This window comes from Homo sapiens, chromosome 18, assembly GCF_000001405.40.
Source record: "Homo sapiens chromosome 18, GRCh38.p14 Primary Assembly".
In the NCBI taxonomy this organism is placed as follows: Eukaryota; Metazoa; Chordata; class Mammalia; order Primates; family Hominidae; genus Homo; species Homo sapiens.
Window position 1 is genome coordinate 35,048,765 of NC_000018.10, and position 20,058 is coordinate 35,068,822.

The following is a 20,058-nucleotide window of genomic DNA, read 5'->3' on the forward strand; positions in this document are numbered from 1 at the left end:
TATATAGTATGTGTTAATACTATATATAACACATATATATGTATATATAATTATACTTTCTAAGATTATACTTCCTAAAGGCATTTTGGCTATCCATAAAAATTTATACAGAAGAAAATACAAATTTTTATAGAAATTCACATTTTAATTGTGTGCAAAATCGATCCTGAAGTTTATGGCCAATGTTTGTTGTTGCGTATGACTAAAAAGATGGTGCTGTTGATGTGAGACACACTTTAGATTTCTGTGATCCTATTTCATTTTTCATAGAAGTAATACTTGTTTTTGTTTTGTTTTGCTTTAAAGACATTAATTTTTTGTTCTTTATTTAGTGTCAGCCTACCCTGGCAAAGCCCTGGGAGGTAATTTGTCAAAAACGCCAGGTAATTTGTCAAAAAACATCTCTGGGAGGCTTTCTTATGTTCACAGCTATACTTTGATTATAAACAGTGGTATCCCTGATTGAAGGGCCCTCTGTGATTCCCTGAGAGGTCTTCATTTGGTGCTGTGCAAGTCAGGAGAAAGTGAAGCTAAGTGAGCTCCTTCCCCCACTCCCTCACGCCATCTACTTCCTTTTTATCATTTTGGAGTGCCAGAAAGTGTTTTCAGGTTCTAATAATGTCATTTTTAAAATCCCCACTCTTGGGTTTTACACAATTATTGTTACATTAAAGTTTAAGCCAAAAATCCTTCTTTCAGCAGACTTACCGAGTTCCTTTAATGTGCCAACCTTCCTCCATGCTGGGCCCTTGGAATACAAAGATAAATATTGCACAGCCCTCCCTTGATAAGAACCTCCAGGGGCCTGGACAGTGGGCGAGAGTACGTGGTGGGAGGGATGTGAGATGGAGAGGTTCCCACACCTGACCCCAGAGTATACACAGGGTGTGTGTTTTGTTTTTTGCTGAGGTGTGGCTGTCATTGGTTCAGAAGTCTTCCTGATACTTGTCTGAATAAAAGTAATTTTGTGATTATTGTGTTGATACTTGGGAAGGGCAAAATTATCACTCCTATAATTTTCAAAAGCTTTCAGAAATGTAGCGTGTAAGTAAAAATGTGTGTGTACCCTACTATGACCTCTATATTTGTCTTACGAACATAGCCTTGAGGCACAAGCTTGGGCATTGTTGAGTGATTTTTGTGGCAGGAAGTTCATTTCTGCTTTTCAAAAAGTCGAGGAAAAGTAAAAGGCTTATTTATCTGTTTTGCTCTTCCAATTTTTATATTTGTATTGGTCATCACTAGGTTAAAAATATTTCAGTATGCTATTACATAAAAAGTGAAAATGAGATCATATATTCATACTTTATTCATAGAGAAACTGAAAGGATATAAACTAATAATGGTAAGAACTGGGAAGATTAATCACTGTGTACCTTTTTATGTTTTTTTTTTCTAAACTGAAACTAAATGCATTACCTCATCAATCAGTGATGTTTCAATTAGCCCTTTAATAGCATAGGTTTTTAAAATTAAATAAGTTTCAGTTTGAACTTAATGAGGTTTACATGTTGAAATATGTTAGGAAACATCTGATAGATACTCATGAACTTACCAAAGTCACATGGATGACAGTAAAGATTTGCCTAATGCAAGTACCATTCTTACATTAAACATCAGTAGTCACAAATGAAATGTGCTCCTATAGCATCTGCCTCATTTAGCCCTTTGAGGTTTCACACATAGCAATCCATAGTGGAGATTTTGTTTCATTTTCTCCAGAGTACATTGAAGCTGCCTGTGTGTTTTGTGATGCGTCCAGCCTGTTTAGTATGCTCTGTGAATCTTACACTAACTGCAAAATAATACTCTGTGAGGATTATTTTAAAATATCCTCTTTGCATTTTTGTTTTCTTCTCATTTATCAAGCTCCTGCCATTTATCAAGTACAGCAAAGGGCCCTAAAACTGAGATTGCAGGTAATTGCCAATTTTTTGGCCACTCTGAGTGCAGTCCTCTGTCCTCCTCCAACTCAGCCTAACCTCCCACCTTAGGGAACTTAATTGGGCAATATCTGGCCTTCATGTGACCCCTGTGTGTGATGACGGCCAGGAAACAAGCCATCTGCATTCACCATGCATTTCTGTTTCAGCCCTCTCACCCAGGAGTCTGGGTGAAAACTGAGAGAACCCCCAGGGAGACTGACCAATTAAGAAAAAAACAAGAACAAAGCTTTGAATATATTATCCTCAGTATAGGGACCTGCTCACTGTCAGCAACTCTGAAATAAAAAAGCTTGTGGAACTTACGAGCTGAATGTCTGCTAGAAAAGGAGGAAGCAGAAGACAGGATCATTGGGAGATGGAGTGTAATGGGAAGTGAGTGCAGCATGGAGGACAGTGAGGGTTTCTTGGGGTGAACATGCCAGCCTCTAGAGAGAGTTTAGTTCTCTGCCTCCCTACCCCCACCCCATCTCTCTCCCTGTCTTTTCAAGGGCAGAGTAAACCTTCCCTTCGACACTTGTTCTCCAAGGACAGAAGAAAATGAAGAGCTCTGTGTTAGCCTAGGCAGGGGTCTGGCAGGAGAAGGGAAACAGGACCAACAAGTCTCTCCCAAGTCCCTTAATGGGGCCTGGAATACACAGTAAATTGTTAAGTTTGAGTTTGGGAAGCCAATTTGGGAAGCCAAATTGATAAGTTTGGGTTTGGGAAGCCAATTTCTTTCCCCCTGAAATTTTTGACAGGCAGATAGCATTGTCATAACAATGACTTTAAGATGTCAGCATGTACCTATTTCCAGCCTGTATGATAAGTGTGTCACTGCTACCTCTACTCCAGTTCAAAATTTGGTCTGTACCGAAAAGGGAACCTGGATTGTCCCCTACCTCCTTTCCTAACCTCCAGGAGGACCAGTTGGGGTCCTCAAAGTGCACAGCCAGGAAGTTGCTTGAAGAGGCAGTGAGGTATAGTGGGCAAAGCTTGGCTCTGGTGTGAGACTTTTACTTTCTGTCCCAGCTCCATCCCTTTCTAGGGCAACATTTTTTTAGCCTCTCTAAGCCTCATTTTCTTACCGTGCATATGGAAATAATAGTAGCATCAACTTCCCAGGGTTCTTATGCAGATTAAATGTGTTACAGAACATAAGGTGTGCCAAACGGTGCCTGGTGCAAAGTAAATGCCTCAAAGAATGTTAGCTAGTATTATTGCTTGCAGCTTAAATCTACTCTTTTACCCTGTATTGATAAAAATCTATAATCTTTTTGTTCTAAGTACCCTGTACAATACTTTGCACATAGCAGATGTTCATTAAAAGTTCAAATTGAACCTGGAAAAAAGTCAAACAAATTATACTACAGTCTTTTTTCCCCCTCATCAACTTTATTAAGAATTTATGTACAGTAAACTGCAGCCATTTAAAGTGTCTGAGTCAGAGTTTTGGCAGTGTGTCCACCCTGAAGCCATCACCACAGTCAAGATGCAGAACATTTCCATCACCCCCAAAAGACTCCTTGTACCCTTTGCAGTCCAAATCTTCTCTGCCCAAAGCCCCAGGAGCCAGTGATCTGCTTTCTGTCACCACAGATTAGATTACATTTTATATAAATGGGATCACAGAGAATGCACTCATTAGTGTCTGACTACTTTGACTCAGCACAATGATTTTAAGATTCATCCATATGGGATGTCTCAGTAGTTCATCACTCTTTATTGCTGAGTAGTATTTCATTGTATGGCTATACCATATTTTGTTTATCTGCTCACCAGTTGATGAACATTTATGTTTCCAGTTTTTAGGAATTATGAAGCAAGTTTCTATGAATATTGTTATACAAGTCTTTGTGGAGGTGTTTTCATTTCTCTGGGGAAAATACTTAGGAGTGGAGTGATTGGGTCATATGGCTGGTGTTTAACTTTTTGAGAAACTGTTTGGCAAACAGTTGTCCAAAATGGTTGTACCATTTTACATTCCTAGCAGCACAGTATGAGAGTTCTGATTGTTTCACATCCTTGGCAACACTTACTATCAGTCTCTTAAATGTTGGCCATCCTTATGGATGTAGAATGGTATCTCATTGAGATTTTAATTTCTATTTTCATGATGACTAATGATGGGTATGTTTTCATGTGCATATTGGCCATTTGTGTGTCTTCTGTAGTAAAGTGTTCAAATCTTTTTCCATTTAAAAAAATAGGTTATCTTTTTAAATAGAATTATACACATATGTTTTGCATAATAATATAGTCTTGAATTGTATTTTAATATGTACAGGTCTTATATTCTTAACTTGAATATAAAGTCCCCCCCACACACACACACAAAAAGACCTAGTCTTTGTTCACAATGACTTTTACAGCAATTAGTTACATGGTCCATCCTCAGTAAGTACATATTAAATGAGTCTATTTAGCCCGGGCACTGTGGCTCATGCCTGTAATCCCAGCACTTTGGGAGGCTGAGGTGGGTGGATCACTTGAGGTCAGGAGTTTGAGATCAGCCTGGCCAACATGGTGAAACCCCATCTCTACTAAAAATACAAAAAATAGCTGGGAGTGGTGGCACTTGCCTGTAATCCCAGCTACCTGTGAGGCTGAGGCAGGAGAATCACTTGAACCCAGGAGGTGAAGGTTGCAGTGAGCCAAGATCACGCCACTGCACTCCAGGCTAGGCAACAGAGCGAGACTCCATCTCATAAAAAATAAAATAAAAATAAAAAAACAGTATTTAATATGTAAATAGAGGGTAAAATAGTAACAGAATAATTATTTTAGCTGAGAAAAAAAAAACACTGAATCTACCTTAGAAGTTTTATATGAACATGTTACATTTGGGAGGTAGTCTTGGTAGATAGGAGATGCTCTTCTAGTTCTGTGGAGAAGAACCCTATAATTAAGACATTCTTTTCTTTGTATTGTGTGTCCCCTTCTTGCTAGATTCCACTATTAAATTTAAGAGGAAAGTGTGCATAGAAAATTTTTTTTCTTTAATTGTAACAAGGATACCATATGTTCTCACAAGTGGCAGCTAAATGATGAGAACTAATGAACACAAAGAAGAGAACAACAGGCATTGGGGTCTACTTGAGAGGGGAAGGTAGAAGGAGAGAGAGGAGCAGAAAAAATAACTAATGGTTACTGGGCTTAATACCTGGGTGATGAAATAATCTGTACAGCAAACCCCCATGACATGAGTTTACCTATATAACAAACCTTCACATGTACCCCCAAACCTAAAGTAAACATTTTAAAAACTAAGTAAATGAAAAGAGGGAGGAAAAATAAATGTAACAAGGAGCCATTTGCATGCTTCCAAAATTTTGCCAAGAATAGCCAAAGCGTTGGATGCCCCCCTTTTAAAAATTTTTGTGGTGAAGATCCCTAAACTTGATCTCTTTCCATTCCCATTCCATCTAATTTGGCAGTTTTGTTGTTGTTTTGCTCCTGACTTCTCTAACTCCCTAAGAAGAAATTGTCTCAAGTAAAATTTAGAGACTGGGAAACAAAAGCTTAGTAAGGTCATAGGTTTGCCTAAAAGGATCGACTGAGGGACCTCGTTTTGGAGAAGATGAGGATCCTTGGCTCCCAGAATCTGTTCAGAAATCTTTCCAGCTAAAAGCCAGTTTCTTAACTACATATGTTTCAAAATCCAAAAATGCAAAGTTTAAGTTCACTAATGATTTCACAAATGTCCTAGGCCTACTACTAGATTTCGTGGGTGCCACTTATTTCGTTTAACATTTATTCATTTTATTGCCAAAAGGTTCAGGCCGAATTTCAGGTGAGTCGCTGCCTCCATGGTGGCGGCAGTCAGATGATTCTCTCTGTTCTGGTTGGGACTGAGTGGACCACAGCCACTCAAGGATCCCTTGAGAGTTGCGAGTGTTCTTTTTGATTTGAGGATGTGCCGTGAACGGAAGCCAAATACTAATAGACAGGACATCCTGTGATTCCCTTAGTTTACGATGGCCAAGGATGTGTGGGTTTTTTTGTTTGTTTGTTTCTTTTTTTTGATAAGATGATTACTTGGTTTTTTTCCTGTTAACAAGGGAGCCTAGATGATGATGTCCATTTGGCTTTTAGGACTCTTAACTAGCAAACAACTAAGCCCCTGCAAAATCACATGAAGACATTGGAAAATCTTTTTATGTAAGGCAGAGATGATTTGGTCATAGTTCGCAATGAAGTGACCGTCAGTTCTATTGGCTTGAAATAATAATGAACCAAAGAGGGGAAATGACCGAAGTCGAAGTTCTTGAAATTAAGGATGTTAAAATAAAATTCTGAAATCTAGTATACTGTGGTATACCTATACGGTTAAGTATTATACAAATATTACATGTGAAGAAAATATGAAAAAAGTTCACAAATGTACCAATGTTAACAGAAGCAAGATGATTATTACAAACGTTTATATGGATTATATTAGTTTTCCAGGGCTCCCATAACAAATTACCACAAACCGGGCGGCTTCAAATTGATCCTCTCACAGTTGTGATGCCGGAGGCTAGAAGTCTAAAACCAAGGTGTTAGTAAGGCCATGCTCCCTCCAACAGCTCTGGGAGACCCTTCCTTGTCTCTTCCCGCTTCTTTTGGCCCCCATGTGCTCCTTGGCTTGCAGCTTCATCACGCCCATCTCTGCCTTTCATTATCACCTGGCCTTCTTCATCTGTGTTTTTTACATGGTCGTCTTTTAAGGAACCAGTCATTGGAGGGCCCACCTTAATCCAGTATATCCTCACCTTAACTAATCATATCTGCAAAGACCTTTTTCCAAATAAAGTCATAATCTGAGGTTCCAGGTGGATATGAATCTTGCAGGGACACTATTCAGTTCTCTGTGTGTGTGTGTGTGTGTGTGTGTGTATGTGTGTGTGTGTGTATACATATGAACCCATTTTTATAAATAACTGTATGTGTGAAACACATACACACAGGTACCCCTCACCAGACACACATAAAAGATGTTTAGGGCCAGATGTGGTGGCTCACGCCTGTAATCCTAGCCCTTTGGGAGGCCGAGGTGGGCGGATCATGAGGTTAGCAGTTCAAGACCAGCCAGCCTGGCCAACATGGTGAAACCTTGTCTCTACTAAGAATACAAAAATTAGCCAGGTGTGGTGGTGCCAGCCTGTAATCCTACCTACTGGGGAGGCTGGGGCAGGAGAATCACTTAAATCCAGGAGGCAGAAGTTGCAGTGAGCCGAGATCATGCAACTGCACTGCAGCCTGGGTGACACAGCAAGACTCTTGTCTCAAAAAAAAAAAAAAAAGATGTTTAGGAAGATATGAATATGAGTGTTATAACTGGGTGATGGAACAGTGGAAATTTTAATTTTATTTTTTATCTGTATTTTCTGCATTAGTGAAAATGGACAGATTTTTTTAATAGAAAAATCTGGCTTTTTGAATAAACAGTAGCACTTTGACATCTTAAAAAAATTGTAGATTTTTATTTTTACTAGCATCCTACTTTAAGTTTGTTGTTACTTTGCCTCATCCAACTTTAATGAAATATTTTAACTTTAAATAATTAATCCTTTGTAGCATTATACATATATAAATATACATAATGAACCCATTAATATATTTGTGATATTAAATGTTTATTATGCTTATTATTATAACAATAGCTAAAGCTGAAATAATATAAAGTAAAATAGGTTTTTGAGACATTGAATCAACCAGTGTGATTGTCAGGTTTTTGGTTTAGGTTTGGAAAGCCAAAAAAAGAAAAGAAAACTTATAATTCTTACTCAATTGCTGAACTCAAACCTTTTTTTCCTTAAAAATGTTTTTAAAGTCTCTAACCCTAGGAACCTAGAAACTCGGTATGGAGGCAGGATGGGGAGGGACTTTACCAAATTTTTAAATTTCATCTGTTCAAATTGGCTCAAATACTGGGTAACTTTTAACACATGTATCTACTCTAGAACTACTTCATCCACTGACCCTTCTTATTTAGACATTTGTGCCTATAGTAACATCTCTAGTTATTTAGTCAAAAAGTTTACTAGGTCTTGTGGTAATTTCCTTTTTCTTAATTATCTTTGAATGCTTATTAACTAATTGTTACTGTTCTGTCTTTATCCCAAGTTTAACAAAACATTCTCAATTCAGTAATGACCCCTATCCCTAACATTTGTTAAACTACTGCAGTATACTGTATTAAAAATTTTGTCCTTTGCTCCTGTAAGTCCTCATAGCATAGCGCTGCAGAATCTAAAGAGGAGACTGCAGTTCAAAAAGCTTCCCTGCTTCCACTGTCCTTCCCAAACCCATGGTCTTACCATGTATCTGCCCCTCTGTTTTTTTGTTTGTTTGTTTTGTTTTGAAACAGAGTTTCACTCTTGTTGCCCAGGCTGGTGTGCAATGGCGCAATCTCAGCTCACTGCATCCTCCGCCCCCCTGGTTCAAGGTATTCTCCTGCCTCAGCCTCCCAAGTAACTGGGATTACAGACACATGCCAACATGTCTGGCTCATTTTTGTATTTTTAGTAGAGATGGGGTTTCTCCACGTTGGCCAGGCTGGTCTCGAACTCCTGACCTCAGGTGATCAACCCGCCTCAGCCTCCCAAAGCGCTAGTATTACAGGCATGAGCCACCATGCCCTCTGTTATTTCTATACCTGATTTGGTTCAAACATGGCACAATTTTTATCTGCTTTTTACTGGAATGCTCAGTTTCTGTACTTCCCTTTGAAAATTGTAGTGATATTACACTGATGCTAGAAATGTTGTAACTTTACGTTTGACCTGTGACAAGGTAGTAGAGAAGGAGAGCAGAGAGATACTGCAAGGAGTGTGTGCGTGTGTGTGTGTGTGTGTGTGTGTAAACTGATATTTGTCAGGGGCTGCTAGGTACTTCTAATGCAAAAGTCTGTCAGTTCATTCTTCATTCCAGTAAATAAATAAAGATGTTTATTGATTTAAAAAATTCTTCTTCTGTTCCATATACAATATATACAATGATGGTATCTGGTTGCCCAAACAAGAGTACCAGAAGAATAGGGAAGGGAAAAGAAGGATGAACTCTGATCCTGGGATGGAATTTTAAGAAGATACAGGGAAATCCATTCTCTGGCTGAAATGAGAGAATCATTTCACATGGGAAAAGAAGTTTTGGGGACGATGCCCTACGAAGCTGGTAGTGAAATAATGCTCCTAGTTTTGATAGTATTTCCCCACTGCTCCACCAACTTAGCTGAACATCGTTTATCTTAGCTCAGCTGTAGCAATGACCAAAATTTCCATTTGCTACTCATCATAAAGTGCAGGAGAGAACCTGTCTTGTATATAATTTGCAGTTTCTTCTTTGGGGCTGGAGCATGGGTTTGATGTAGAGGCAGATCAGTACCTTGCCAACTGAACCCAAGGAGTTAAGTTTAATGTTGTGCTATTTCCCAGTTTGAAGTTTTCAATTTTGATTCTGTGTCAGAGTCTACTATGGAAATAATTAAGAAGAGTAGATAAGCACAAATATGGCTGGGGGCATAAGGATGTCTTTTGGAGTCAGATTCACTGGAATATTTTTTGCCACTGGCCTGTACTTCCCTTGTCCTGTTAATAAGCTTAATTTTATTGGTACTTCATTTTCCATTTTCATTTCAAAATGTTCTCATGAGTTTAAAAATCAATTTTACCATAATGTAAATACAGACCTTTGGATAGGCACCAATCTCTAAGAGTAGAATACTGAGAGGCTTGTCTATTTTTTTTTAAGGAATAGCTTTTTCTAAACACATAGTCAAGATACCAATCTGAAGTCTTTCATTAGCTTTGAAAAAATTATAAGCAGTATAATGTACATGGTCTCTGTCCATTTTGACTAATTTACCACAAAAAGCAAATTGAGAGGCTTGAACCTCAAATCTGTAGTAACTAGAAATGCACGATGTGATGACTCCTACGATATTAACATACCTTATATGTTACAGCTGGCAGATTTGCCAGCCAAAAATTCATTCCCAGCGATAAACTGAGTAACTAGCCACCCAAATCTCTACATTTTGAGCTTTTCTTCACAGAAACTTAAAATCATCTTGGTTAAAGTGAAAATGTAAAATGAGATCTTGGTAGAATTTAAAAAGACAAAATGGCTTTATTAAAGACCACAATTGTGTCCTCACTTGGAATTATTTTTTCTTCCTGCTTAATCTCATGACATAAACACAAGAGCAGGGAGAGTCTCAATTAAAAGCAAGAATCCTGGAATTCATCCTAGGTCCAAATCCCTGCTTTGCCACTTAATAATGGTGACTAGACAAGTCACTAAACCTCTCCGAGTCTGTATCTTTTCCTACATAACATAAAAGCAGCAGTGATCACATGGCATTGTTGCAAAGATTAAATTAAAAAATTCCTGTTTTACTCTTTCATTAGGCATGTGGAAAGTTTTCAATAAATATTAGTTATTGTAACTTCTAATCTAGTTCCCCTTGTTTACTAGTGAAGAAAAGGAGATCCCAAAGAGTTGAGACACATGTGCCCACATTTATCCAACTGGTTGATAGTTCTGGAACTAGAAGCTGCTGCCCCTGATGCCTAGAACAGAGCTCTCATTAAGCTGCAGGGCAGCTAGGGAGCTTTTGGTATCTGTGTTCCAGACATTTCCCTACTCACCTTTAAAAAAAAAAAAATGCCTAGAAGACAGGGTCCTTTAATTCACTCAACCCTAGTCTGTTCCTAGCCATCTCACATAGCACTAGGGGCACGTATTGATATTTGCCTTTTGTATGATTTGGCACACCTTTGTTTGCATTCATTCAGCATTTATTTATTGTGTACCTACTGTGTGCCACACACAGTTCCAGACACAGGAGATAAAGCTGTAAACAAAACATATTCTATAAAGTTTCTGCCTTCATAGAGCTTACATCCTGGGGGCAAGAGGAGTGGACAGATGGTAAACAAACAAGATAATTACCAATGGTGTTAGTATCACCGAGGGCAGAGTAGAGAGATGTGGGAGTAACTGGAAGCGGCCACTTCAGAAGTGGGCATGGAGGGTTCACTGGGGAGTTGACATTTGAGCCAAACCTGAAGCATGAGATGCAGCCAACCCTGCCAAGTGCTGGAACAAGCTGCTCTTCCGTGGCATGAGGTCTTGAGCCCCAGTTATCCCTAAGGATGAAACTTGAGGCTTTGCTCTGTCATTTGTTTCTTATTATGAGAAGATTTAGAAAAAGCAGACACCGAAGTACCTGAGAAGGAACTAGCACCACCAAGAGTACAAGAGAGCTCAGAACCAGGAGGTGGGGACCACTCCTACAAAATGTGTGCACCACAGGACTTTGCCTAGTGGCAGCATGATTGTTTGATGACCGCATATGCTTCTGCTATATTGCATGCGCCTGATTTTATGCAGTGGACTAACAACTGAGCATGACCACCCACTATGGTACCAGCAGCACCTATGTCCTGAAAGGTTGACCCAGGGCCCTGCTCGTTGGGGGCAGCGTGGGCATGACTGGAAAAGACCTGGGATCATGGGAAAGAGCTAAGGTCAGGGTAAGAGGGAACGAGGCCAAGTAGGGCTGGGAAAGTAAACAGAAGGCATATGGTCAAGAAGGAGTGGATGTGCTGGGAGCTGAGTTGGCGGGGGAGGGGGTACTGAGAAAAGTTGGTGCCCTGAGGAGACCAGCCAAGCCCTGTGGCATGGGAATGAGCTCTAGGTCATTGAAATTATTTTCAGAGCATGGACGAAGCCACCCACTGCTAGAAACAGATGGACATTTAGGCAAATATAATCAGCTGCATTTCTGACCATATGAAGAAGCGTATGTCTATGTGGGGCAGGGAAGGGTTAGCCTTTTACTCTCTCATTGTACATGTCAAGTTTCATTCATATCCATGGACGTTATGAATGCTACAAAGAACTTTTTTAGAATTCCAAAATTTTGTCATACCCTGGATAGGAGCCAAATTTCCAAGTCATTTCAGGGCTGTAGCTATTGACTTGTTAAGTCTGAGTTTAGAAAACAAAACAAAAATCCACCCGTATATGCTGTTTTGAAAGTTTGTCTTTTTTGTTTAGTTACGATAGGGTGGCTAGCCAAACTAAGCCCTGTATGCAAGGAGCTGCCTAATGAATAGTAGTGGATGAGGTTAATGCAGATAAATAACAATGAGGCTGTTAAAAATGGAGTTGATTTTCAAGGTGACTTACGGAATGTCCTATTGTAGGCGGTTGGAGACACCTGTGTTTTAATGATATTCTGTTGGTTTTTTTTCTTAAAACATATGTAGAATACTTGGTGATATGGCAAGAAAGAGCTTAATCTCCGTGTTTTGAAAAATAATCATTAATGGTAAAAGGGATGGGCACCCTGAAAAAGAGTATTATTTTTATGTTCATTCTCTCTTGGAGGTGGCAGTTATTAGCTGTCGTTAGGAGTTCTGATTGTCAGACTAAATGGAACTTTGTATGCACATTAAAAGCATTATCATTAAGAAGTGACTGATAATGAAGAGCACATTCATATTGGAATGATAGGCAGCCTGGAAAAGCCTGCAGTAGAGAGCAAGCACCTCAAACCTGATAAAACTCACATTTATCTCATCTTCCTCTAAACAGCATAGTTTTGAAGATTCTTACATTGGTCTTCTTCACTAGTTCTAAACCATCAATGCCTAATTTTGAGAGAAAAAAATAGTATATTTCAGTGTCTATATTTTAATAAAGTATGTGCATGTTGTCATATGGACAGTGTCCTGATATTTCTCCATCATCCTTGTGTGAAGTCAGTTCCGTGCTCACACCCCTGCCACATGGAGAGGCCCGGCCGCAGGGAGGGTCTGTGCCTGGAGGAGTTGGTCTTGCATTGTCTGTCTAATCCCATCACAGTCATAGAGCCCCGTAAAAATAAAATACGTGCAGGTCTGCCCACAGCAGCTTATGTGTGCTATTACCTGGAGACAATAAATGACTTCTTAAATTCCCATTCCAGCCCTAGAATCCATGCATACGGCAATTAGTCCACAAGTTAAACAGAAGCTTTAATACCCAGTTTTAGGCGAAACTCCATAGTTCCTGTAATCTCTCTCCAGGAGATTTTATCCTGTCAAGGTTTGTCTTTCAGAGACACCCTCTTTGACTCCCTCTTTGCTCCATCCTGATCTCCCTCCTCAAACAAATACTTTCTCTGTGCCCCACATTGCAGGTCACAAATAAAGAGAAAGTGATGAATCTAGAATGATCTGGTGATATTCTTTCCTTGGGTGAAATGTTTAAATCCTGCCTCTCGAGGTATTGAACCTAGAGAATGAATTATGCGCAGATGAAAAGCGGGATATTTCTGGTTCAGGAGACACATTTACACTGTCCCTCCCTATGGAAGCCCAGTTCATTATTAGGGGAGGCTGTGGGAGATTTAACATCAGCCTTTTGTGGTGAGGACGCTGGGAAGGAGGCACGCAGGCAGGATCTGTGTTTACAAGGCTTTTCAGAGGAAAAGACGTTTGGGGGGATGTCTGTGATGGGACTGAATATCTTCATTCCCCTCCGGAGGATAACATATATTCTAATGCAGAAGTAGTCTTTGAGAAAAACTTTTGAGGTTTCTTCCTTTGGCTAAGTATTTAATCTGTGGGCATGAATGTACAATTTGCAGGTTATTTTAGAAAGATGCCACTTCTAAGAGAAGAAAATATTGGTGATTGATAAATCTCTTTTTAAATTCTCATAATATTTGCAGATACTTAGAAATGTTTACAAAACGGCTATTTCTGTTAGAATAACACAAAATTCTTCTAAGTAAAAAGCCTTCTTTACAAGCGCATTTGAAATAATGCACCTCACTTTACCTGCTATGCTGGAACAGGCCAACTTTGGCAATCCTAAAACCTTTAACCAGGAACAACTCTGTGAAATGAGAACTGACAGTGTGGCCTTGACCTGGACCGAGCGAAAGTCCAGTGACTGGCAAAGAAAGCCATTCTTTTGGATCACAGGTCCTTCTCCCCTGTTGGCATGTGTAGAAACACTTTGAAAGGATCTCAAACACCTAGTCAGTTGGACTTAATTTCCAAGGAAGCATCGATATTTCTAACCATTACCTTAATAAACCACTTGGGTTATAAGAAATTCAGAAATCATTATATGCTCAAGCCCAAAGAAATAAGTTTCTTAGGTGAAAGAAAAATATACTTTTTCTTTATATCTCTCTTCTAGTCTGCTCGTTGTTTCATTTATGTGAAACTGGGTGAAGAATGCACTGCATGTATTTACCCTAAACTGTTGGTAGTGGATTACTTTCCCCAGTGATGGGAGAACATGTTGAAAATAGAGATTGTTATGAGAGAAAAGAAAGACAGTCACACATATCACACATATGGGTATGGTTGTCACTGCAACATGTGTGAACAGAGTACATTGGCATGCGGTGGGTTGAACTTTCAGAACTTTTGTTGTTGTTTTTTTTTTGAGATGGAGTCTCACTCTGTCGCCCAGGCCGGAGTGCAGTGGCGCGATCTCGGCTCACTGCAAGCTCCACCTCCTGGGTTCACGCCATTCTCCTGCCTCAGCCTCCTGAGTAGCTGGGACTACAGGCGCACACCACCACGCCTGGCTAATTTTTTTTTTGTATTTTTAGTAGAGATGGGGTTTCACCGTGTTAGCCAGGATGGTCTTGATCTCCTGACCTCGTGATCCGCCCGCCTTGTCCTCCCAAAGTGCTGGGATTACAGGCGTGAGCCACTGCGCCCGGCCTCAGAACATTTTATGTTGAACATGAAGTTTCCAGTTGAATGTGGACTCCTTTAAGGAGTGACATAAAGAAGGTAACTTAAAAAAAAAAAAAAGGAGAAGAAGGTAGCTTAAATCCAAAAGGCCCTTTAAAGGCTCAGCCTCCAAGTGGGTTTGGTATAAGTAAATCCAGGCCAAATGGGGTCTCCTTGCAGCGCAGCAGATAGCAGTCAACCACTTATGGAGGCTGTTCTTCTGCAGATGAACTTGCCTGAATTTGGGAAGTTTGGTAAACTCAGACTTTAGATGATATAAAAACAAAAAAGTCAGGCTGGGTACTGTGGCTCACGCCTGTAATCCTAGCACTTTGGGAGCCCAAGACAGAAGGATTACTTTTTGAGCCCAGGAATTCATGATCAGCCTATGCAACATAGTGAGACCCCTGTCTCTACAAAAAAATGAAAAGTAAGCTGGGAGTGGTGGCACACGCCTGTAGTCCCAGCTTCTTGAGAGGCTGAGCTAAGAGCATTGCTTTAGCCCAGGAGATTGAGCCTGCAGTGAGCTATGATGGCACCACTGCACTCCAGCCTGGACTGCCGAGTGAGACCCTGTCTCTTTAAAAAAAAAAAAAAAAAAAAAAAAAAAAAAAAATCTGGCCAACGTGATGGTTCACACCTGTGGTCCCAGCTACTCAGGGATGCTGATACAGTAGGATTGCTTGGGCCCAGGAGGCAGAGGTTGTGAGCCAAGATCTCACCACTGCATTCCAGCCTGGACTGCACTCCAGCCTGAACAACAGAGCAAAGCCTCATTTCAAAAAAAAAAAAATCAAAATAGGTTCCACATTAAACCCTTTTCCTTATAGCCACACACCTCAAATGGGACCAGAGCCAGATCCCGGGACAACAACTGGCCTATCATGAAACCTGCTGGAAAAAATATACATATATGTATATATACTGTTTTGTCCTCCAAAATGAGTGATCGGTGAAGTGTGAAAAGAGAAAATGAGGACAGGCAGCCCCCTCCCCTGAAGTATGGCTGATAGTGTGTTTGCAAGGGGTGGGGCAGGGCAGAGAGACAAAATGAATTACATAGGAAATAATTTCAGTTAACACTCATAATGCTAGCTAGCACATATTATATATTTGCTTAATTTTGAAGAGCCACTTCTCTGGAATAATTCACAAACCTTGCCAAATTTGTTCTTGAACAAAATTGTTGAGTATTTTGTAGTTAAGCTTTAGGTGCAGAACTGGTAAAGGTGGTAGAATTCATATTTTGCTCAGTAGGCTAACTCAGGTCTCATTGACTCACATAAAACTCCATTTATTGTAGTAAGCAGAAATACAGTGTCTAATGTGTCTGATTCAATCACTACTGCAAAGCATAACCTTGCTGTACCTCTCCACCCAACACCACCGCCAAATACTGAATAAAGGATGAAACTGAGCAAAATCTACACATTGGCCCTCAGCTGGAGGCTTTCCTTTTTCTAAAGTCATGTGTATCAGTGGTCACTATCCACAGACAAGCTAGAATCGTGACTTTGCCTGCTAGAGGTCTGAAGGGATTTTTGTTTTTTCTGTGTGTTTTTCTCTCTTCTGTTTGCAAAACAAAACAAAAAACCAGCTGGGTGTGGTGGCTCACGCCTGTAATCCCAGCACTTTGGGAGGCCAAGGTGGGCAGATGGCCTGAGGTCAGGAGTTCCAGACCAGTCTGGCCAACATGGTGAAACCCTGTCTGTACTAAAAATACCAAAAAAATTAGCTGGGCGTGGTGGCATGTGCCTGCAATCCCAGCTATTTGGGAGGCTGAAGCAGGGGAATTGCTTGAACCAGGGAGGTAGACGTTGCAGTGAGCCAAGATCGCGCTGCTGCACTCCAGCCTGGGCGACAGAGTAGGACTCTGTCTCAAAAAAAAAAAAACAAAAAGTGTATTCCCACCTTCCAAGAAAGCTATTCTAATATTCATGTAAAAAGTGTGTAACTATATTGTGATTATTAGTTTATTTTCAAGTAGGGGCAATAAATGCAAATTTGTTTTAAAATAAAATTTAAATACAATATTAAAGTGTGGTGACCCAGGGACTGCAGTGCTAGGAAAGTGTTCCTCCCTTATCTCCTGCTTGTTGTGCTGTTGCACTGACCAGATCTTTATTTTTATTTATTTATCTTTTTTATTTTTTTTTGAGACGGAGTTTCACTGTCACCCAGGCTGGAGTGCAGTGGCCCAATCTCAACTCACTGCAACCTCTGCCTACCGGGTTCAAGCGATTCTCCTGCCTCAGCCTCCCTAGTAGCTGGGACTACAGGCGCATGCCACCAAACCTGGCTAATTTTTGTATTTTTAGTAGAGACAGGATTTCGCCATGTTGGCCAGGCTGGTCTCGAACTCCGGACCTCAGGTGATCCACCCGCCTCGGCCTCCCAAAGTGCTGGGATTACAGGCATGAGCCACCGCGCCTGGCCTGCACTGACCAGGTCTTAAACAACACAGTGATCTGGTTGAGATTCCAATTGAAAGCCACAAAGTGGGAGACAGCGCTTTGACTTTCTCCTTTGCAAGGATGGGACAGAGAGATGCTCATGTCCCAGAGGCCATGTGGCAAGTCACCTAAGAATAAACTGTTGTTTCCATGTAAAAGACATGCTGAAGATCCAAACATGAGAATAAACCCCGCACAGTGAGTTGCTCCTTGTTCTGTAATAGTTAGTATGACCTTACCTTTCATAACCATTTATCTTTCTTGACTGAGTCTTTGGGAAGTACTCCATGAATTAAAAATTAGCTTTTTGAATTGTATAATTCCTACCTTCCATAGGATGTTGATGTAATTGGTAATATCCCTAAGGACTAGCAGTCGTGAATTGAAGTTTGTGTCCACTTTTGTAAGGGAAGAGTATGATTCCTGCCCTGCTTTCCTCCCAGGATTCTTCCAAGGGTCAATAGAACCACTTTATCTCTAAAAAGATATAAAATTTCCTTGTGTTATCCACACAGCATTTCTGCAGACTAGGTAGGGACAAGTACTTTTACCTTTATATTGTCATATAGATTGAGACCCCAGAAATCATAATGAAATCTTAGGATTTTAGAATGTATCCACCTAGGGACTAGGACAATTTAATACTCTCTCACCTGAGTTTAACATTTGGAAAAAATATATAAATGTTCTGTGAATGTTGTAGCCACTTGTATCATTTAAGTTTAACTATATGGAAAGCATACCTGTAGAAAAAGCAGGAGCTGAAAGAATTGGGAAAACAAAAGGGTGGATGGCAGTGCAGGAATAGAATCCTTTTTCCACTTTGGCTGACACTTCACTTGCGGGAGGTTCAGGACAGTTCCCCTTCCAGGGAAAGTGAGTCCAGACTCAGAACTCTCAGGCCTAAAATCGGAAAAGCTGGCTTGTTTGGGTTCGGGGCAAACATTGGGAGCAAAGACAGCCACAGAGTGAAGTGCGCTTAGAAGTACCTTGCTGAAATTTGGAAAGAGGAAGATCGATTATAAGAATATTCCCATCAGCAGGGGTGTTAAATAGAAATTAACTATATTGATTTCATTGTTATTAATTTGAAGTAGGTATTGAAGTCTACTCATTTAATGTGTTGTTATTTTATTTTAGGAAATGGTGAAAAATTTCTTGCCTTCATTGGTTCACTTATTCTTAATCTGTCTTCTAAACTAGTTATCCCACAGGTCCCTTAACACATGGTAGCCCCTGCCACAGGGCTTGTGAGGACTACAGCTGTGTTGGCTAGCAATGGTGGAGATTTGAGTGGTATGCCTGGTAACTAAGTACCCAGAATTTTTCTAAAGCCCAGATCTGGTGCTGTTTTCATTGTTTACCTGATCATCTTAATGAACTGCTTGAAGGCAGATAGTGCCTTGACTTACCTTTGTGAGCTGAATGTCTGTTTACATTATGAAAGGACAATTGTTGTCCTTAAGTGAATGTTATCAGCAAAGACCTGGAGGAAAGTGTGATTTATTGACAAACTGCAGCAAATGACCTGCTTCCTTGTTTATATGGATTTTTAAAAAGCTGTCATTACTCTTCTACCTGTACTTCTGTTGTATATTAATTTCTCTTATGTAACCACAGAACGTTTTTACTCACTTGTGTATGGGTTATTTTTCTAAAACACAGATCTGTTTGTGTCTTTTCTGCTTTGCATTTAGATTTTTTTTAAATCATCTTGATTAAAAATTTCATCTCAATTTGGTTTGGTGCCATCTAGCATAACCCTGGGCCTCGACACCACATCCTCCATCAGTACATTGCCCGGTAATGCAGAAGCTTTCCATTACTGCCTGAAGAAGAAACCGCTAGAAAAGCCCATCAGCTGCCAAAAGTTATGCCAGTATATGATCATTTCATCAGTCCAAAATATTTTAAATTTTGAATTATTTACCCTTACTAAGATTATACATAATTTACATAGATGATTTTAAAAATTGACTACATTTAAAAAGCAAATGGTTTCGTTTAATAAATGATAGACTAAAGAAAACAGTGGAAGTTATTAACCAAAAAGTAAAAAACCTTCAATAATGGTGTACAAAGCAGTAATTATGGTCACACTATCTGAGATTCCTATGCTGTGAGATTTTTCAGATCCTTACGAGAAGACAATTTAGAGATAAGGGTGCTTCTGGGAATGGAGTGATAGATATTTATTTTTACATTTATTTCTAAATGAAACCTTCATTTAGCACTTTAAAGTAGAAAACAGATTTTTATTGCTTTCATGAGCATAAATAGGAACTCCAAACACAACTATTTCATAAAATGTAGATTTTTGTCTAAAACCTATATACTATAGATTTTGCTATTATATCTAGTCATGTTTAAAAATATTACTTCTATATCTGTAAATACCATTTTTCACTAAAAGGAATCAGGAGCGCTTGGAGAAATTACTGGTTTTAGGTCTGAGGCAAGAAATATACAAGTTGGCCTTGGAACATCTCGTCATATTGGAAAAGAAGAAGGTTATCAAAGACCACTAAGACTGTGTCAAAAGAACTTAGAGGCTAGCTTGAATAAGCTCTTGCAAGCTTTTATCAATAAAGGTATAATTTCAATGGATTGAAACATATCAAATATGTTTAAGTCCATGGATTCATAATTATACTTCAAAATATAAGAACAAAAACTTCATTGGTCATGTTTGGAGAATATTAGGGAACTACTCATCACTTTGAAAACTGGCAAATAGAGAAAAAGAGTTAGGCACCTCTCCTGCCTTTCCTCGATGACCTGTATCTCAGGGTACCTCAGGGGGAAACTTCTCTTTGTAGAATTATTCCAGCTAATAAATCAAGAATGAATAATAGAATATTTGAAGTTTTAGTGAATTATTGGATCTAGGCAAATATCAGAGCTAACAATATCATGGAAGCAGGCAGTCAGAGGTAATAGTTATCTGCCTTC

At 39.6% G+C, this 20,058-nt stretch overlaps 1 protein-coding gene across 5 annotated transcripts in view, besides 1 other annotated feature; it reads left to right on the plus strand.

Annotated features, from left to right (window-relative positions):
* Positions 1-20,058, plus strand: part of MAPRE2 (microtubule associated protein RP/EB family member 2) — a 166,444-nt gene that overhangs the window by 71,738 nt on the left and 74,648 nt on the right. The window lies entirely within an intron of this gene.
* Positions 1,612-2,112: an enhancer, noted in NCBI's record as "H3K4me1 hESC enhancer chr18:32630340-32630840 (GRCh37/hg19 assembly coordinates)". NCBI's record gives its function as "activates a minimal SCP1, AML or CMV promoter by ChIP-STARR-seq in naive H9 embryonic stem cells {active_cell/tissue: H9 hESC(naive)}" and the evidence as "EXISTENCE:reporter gene assay evidence [ECO:0000049][PMID:30033119]".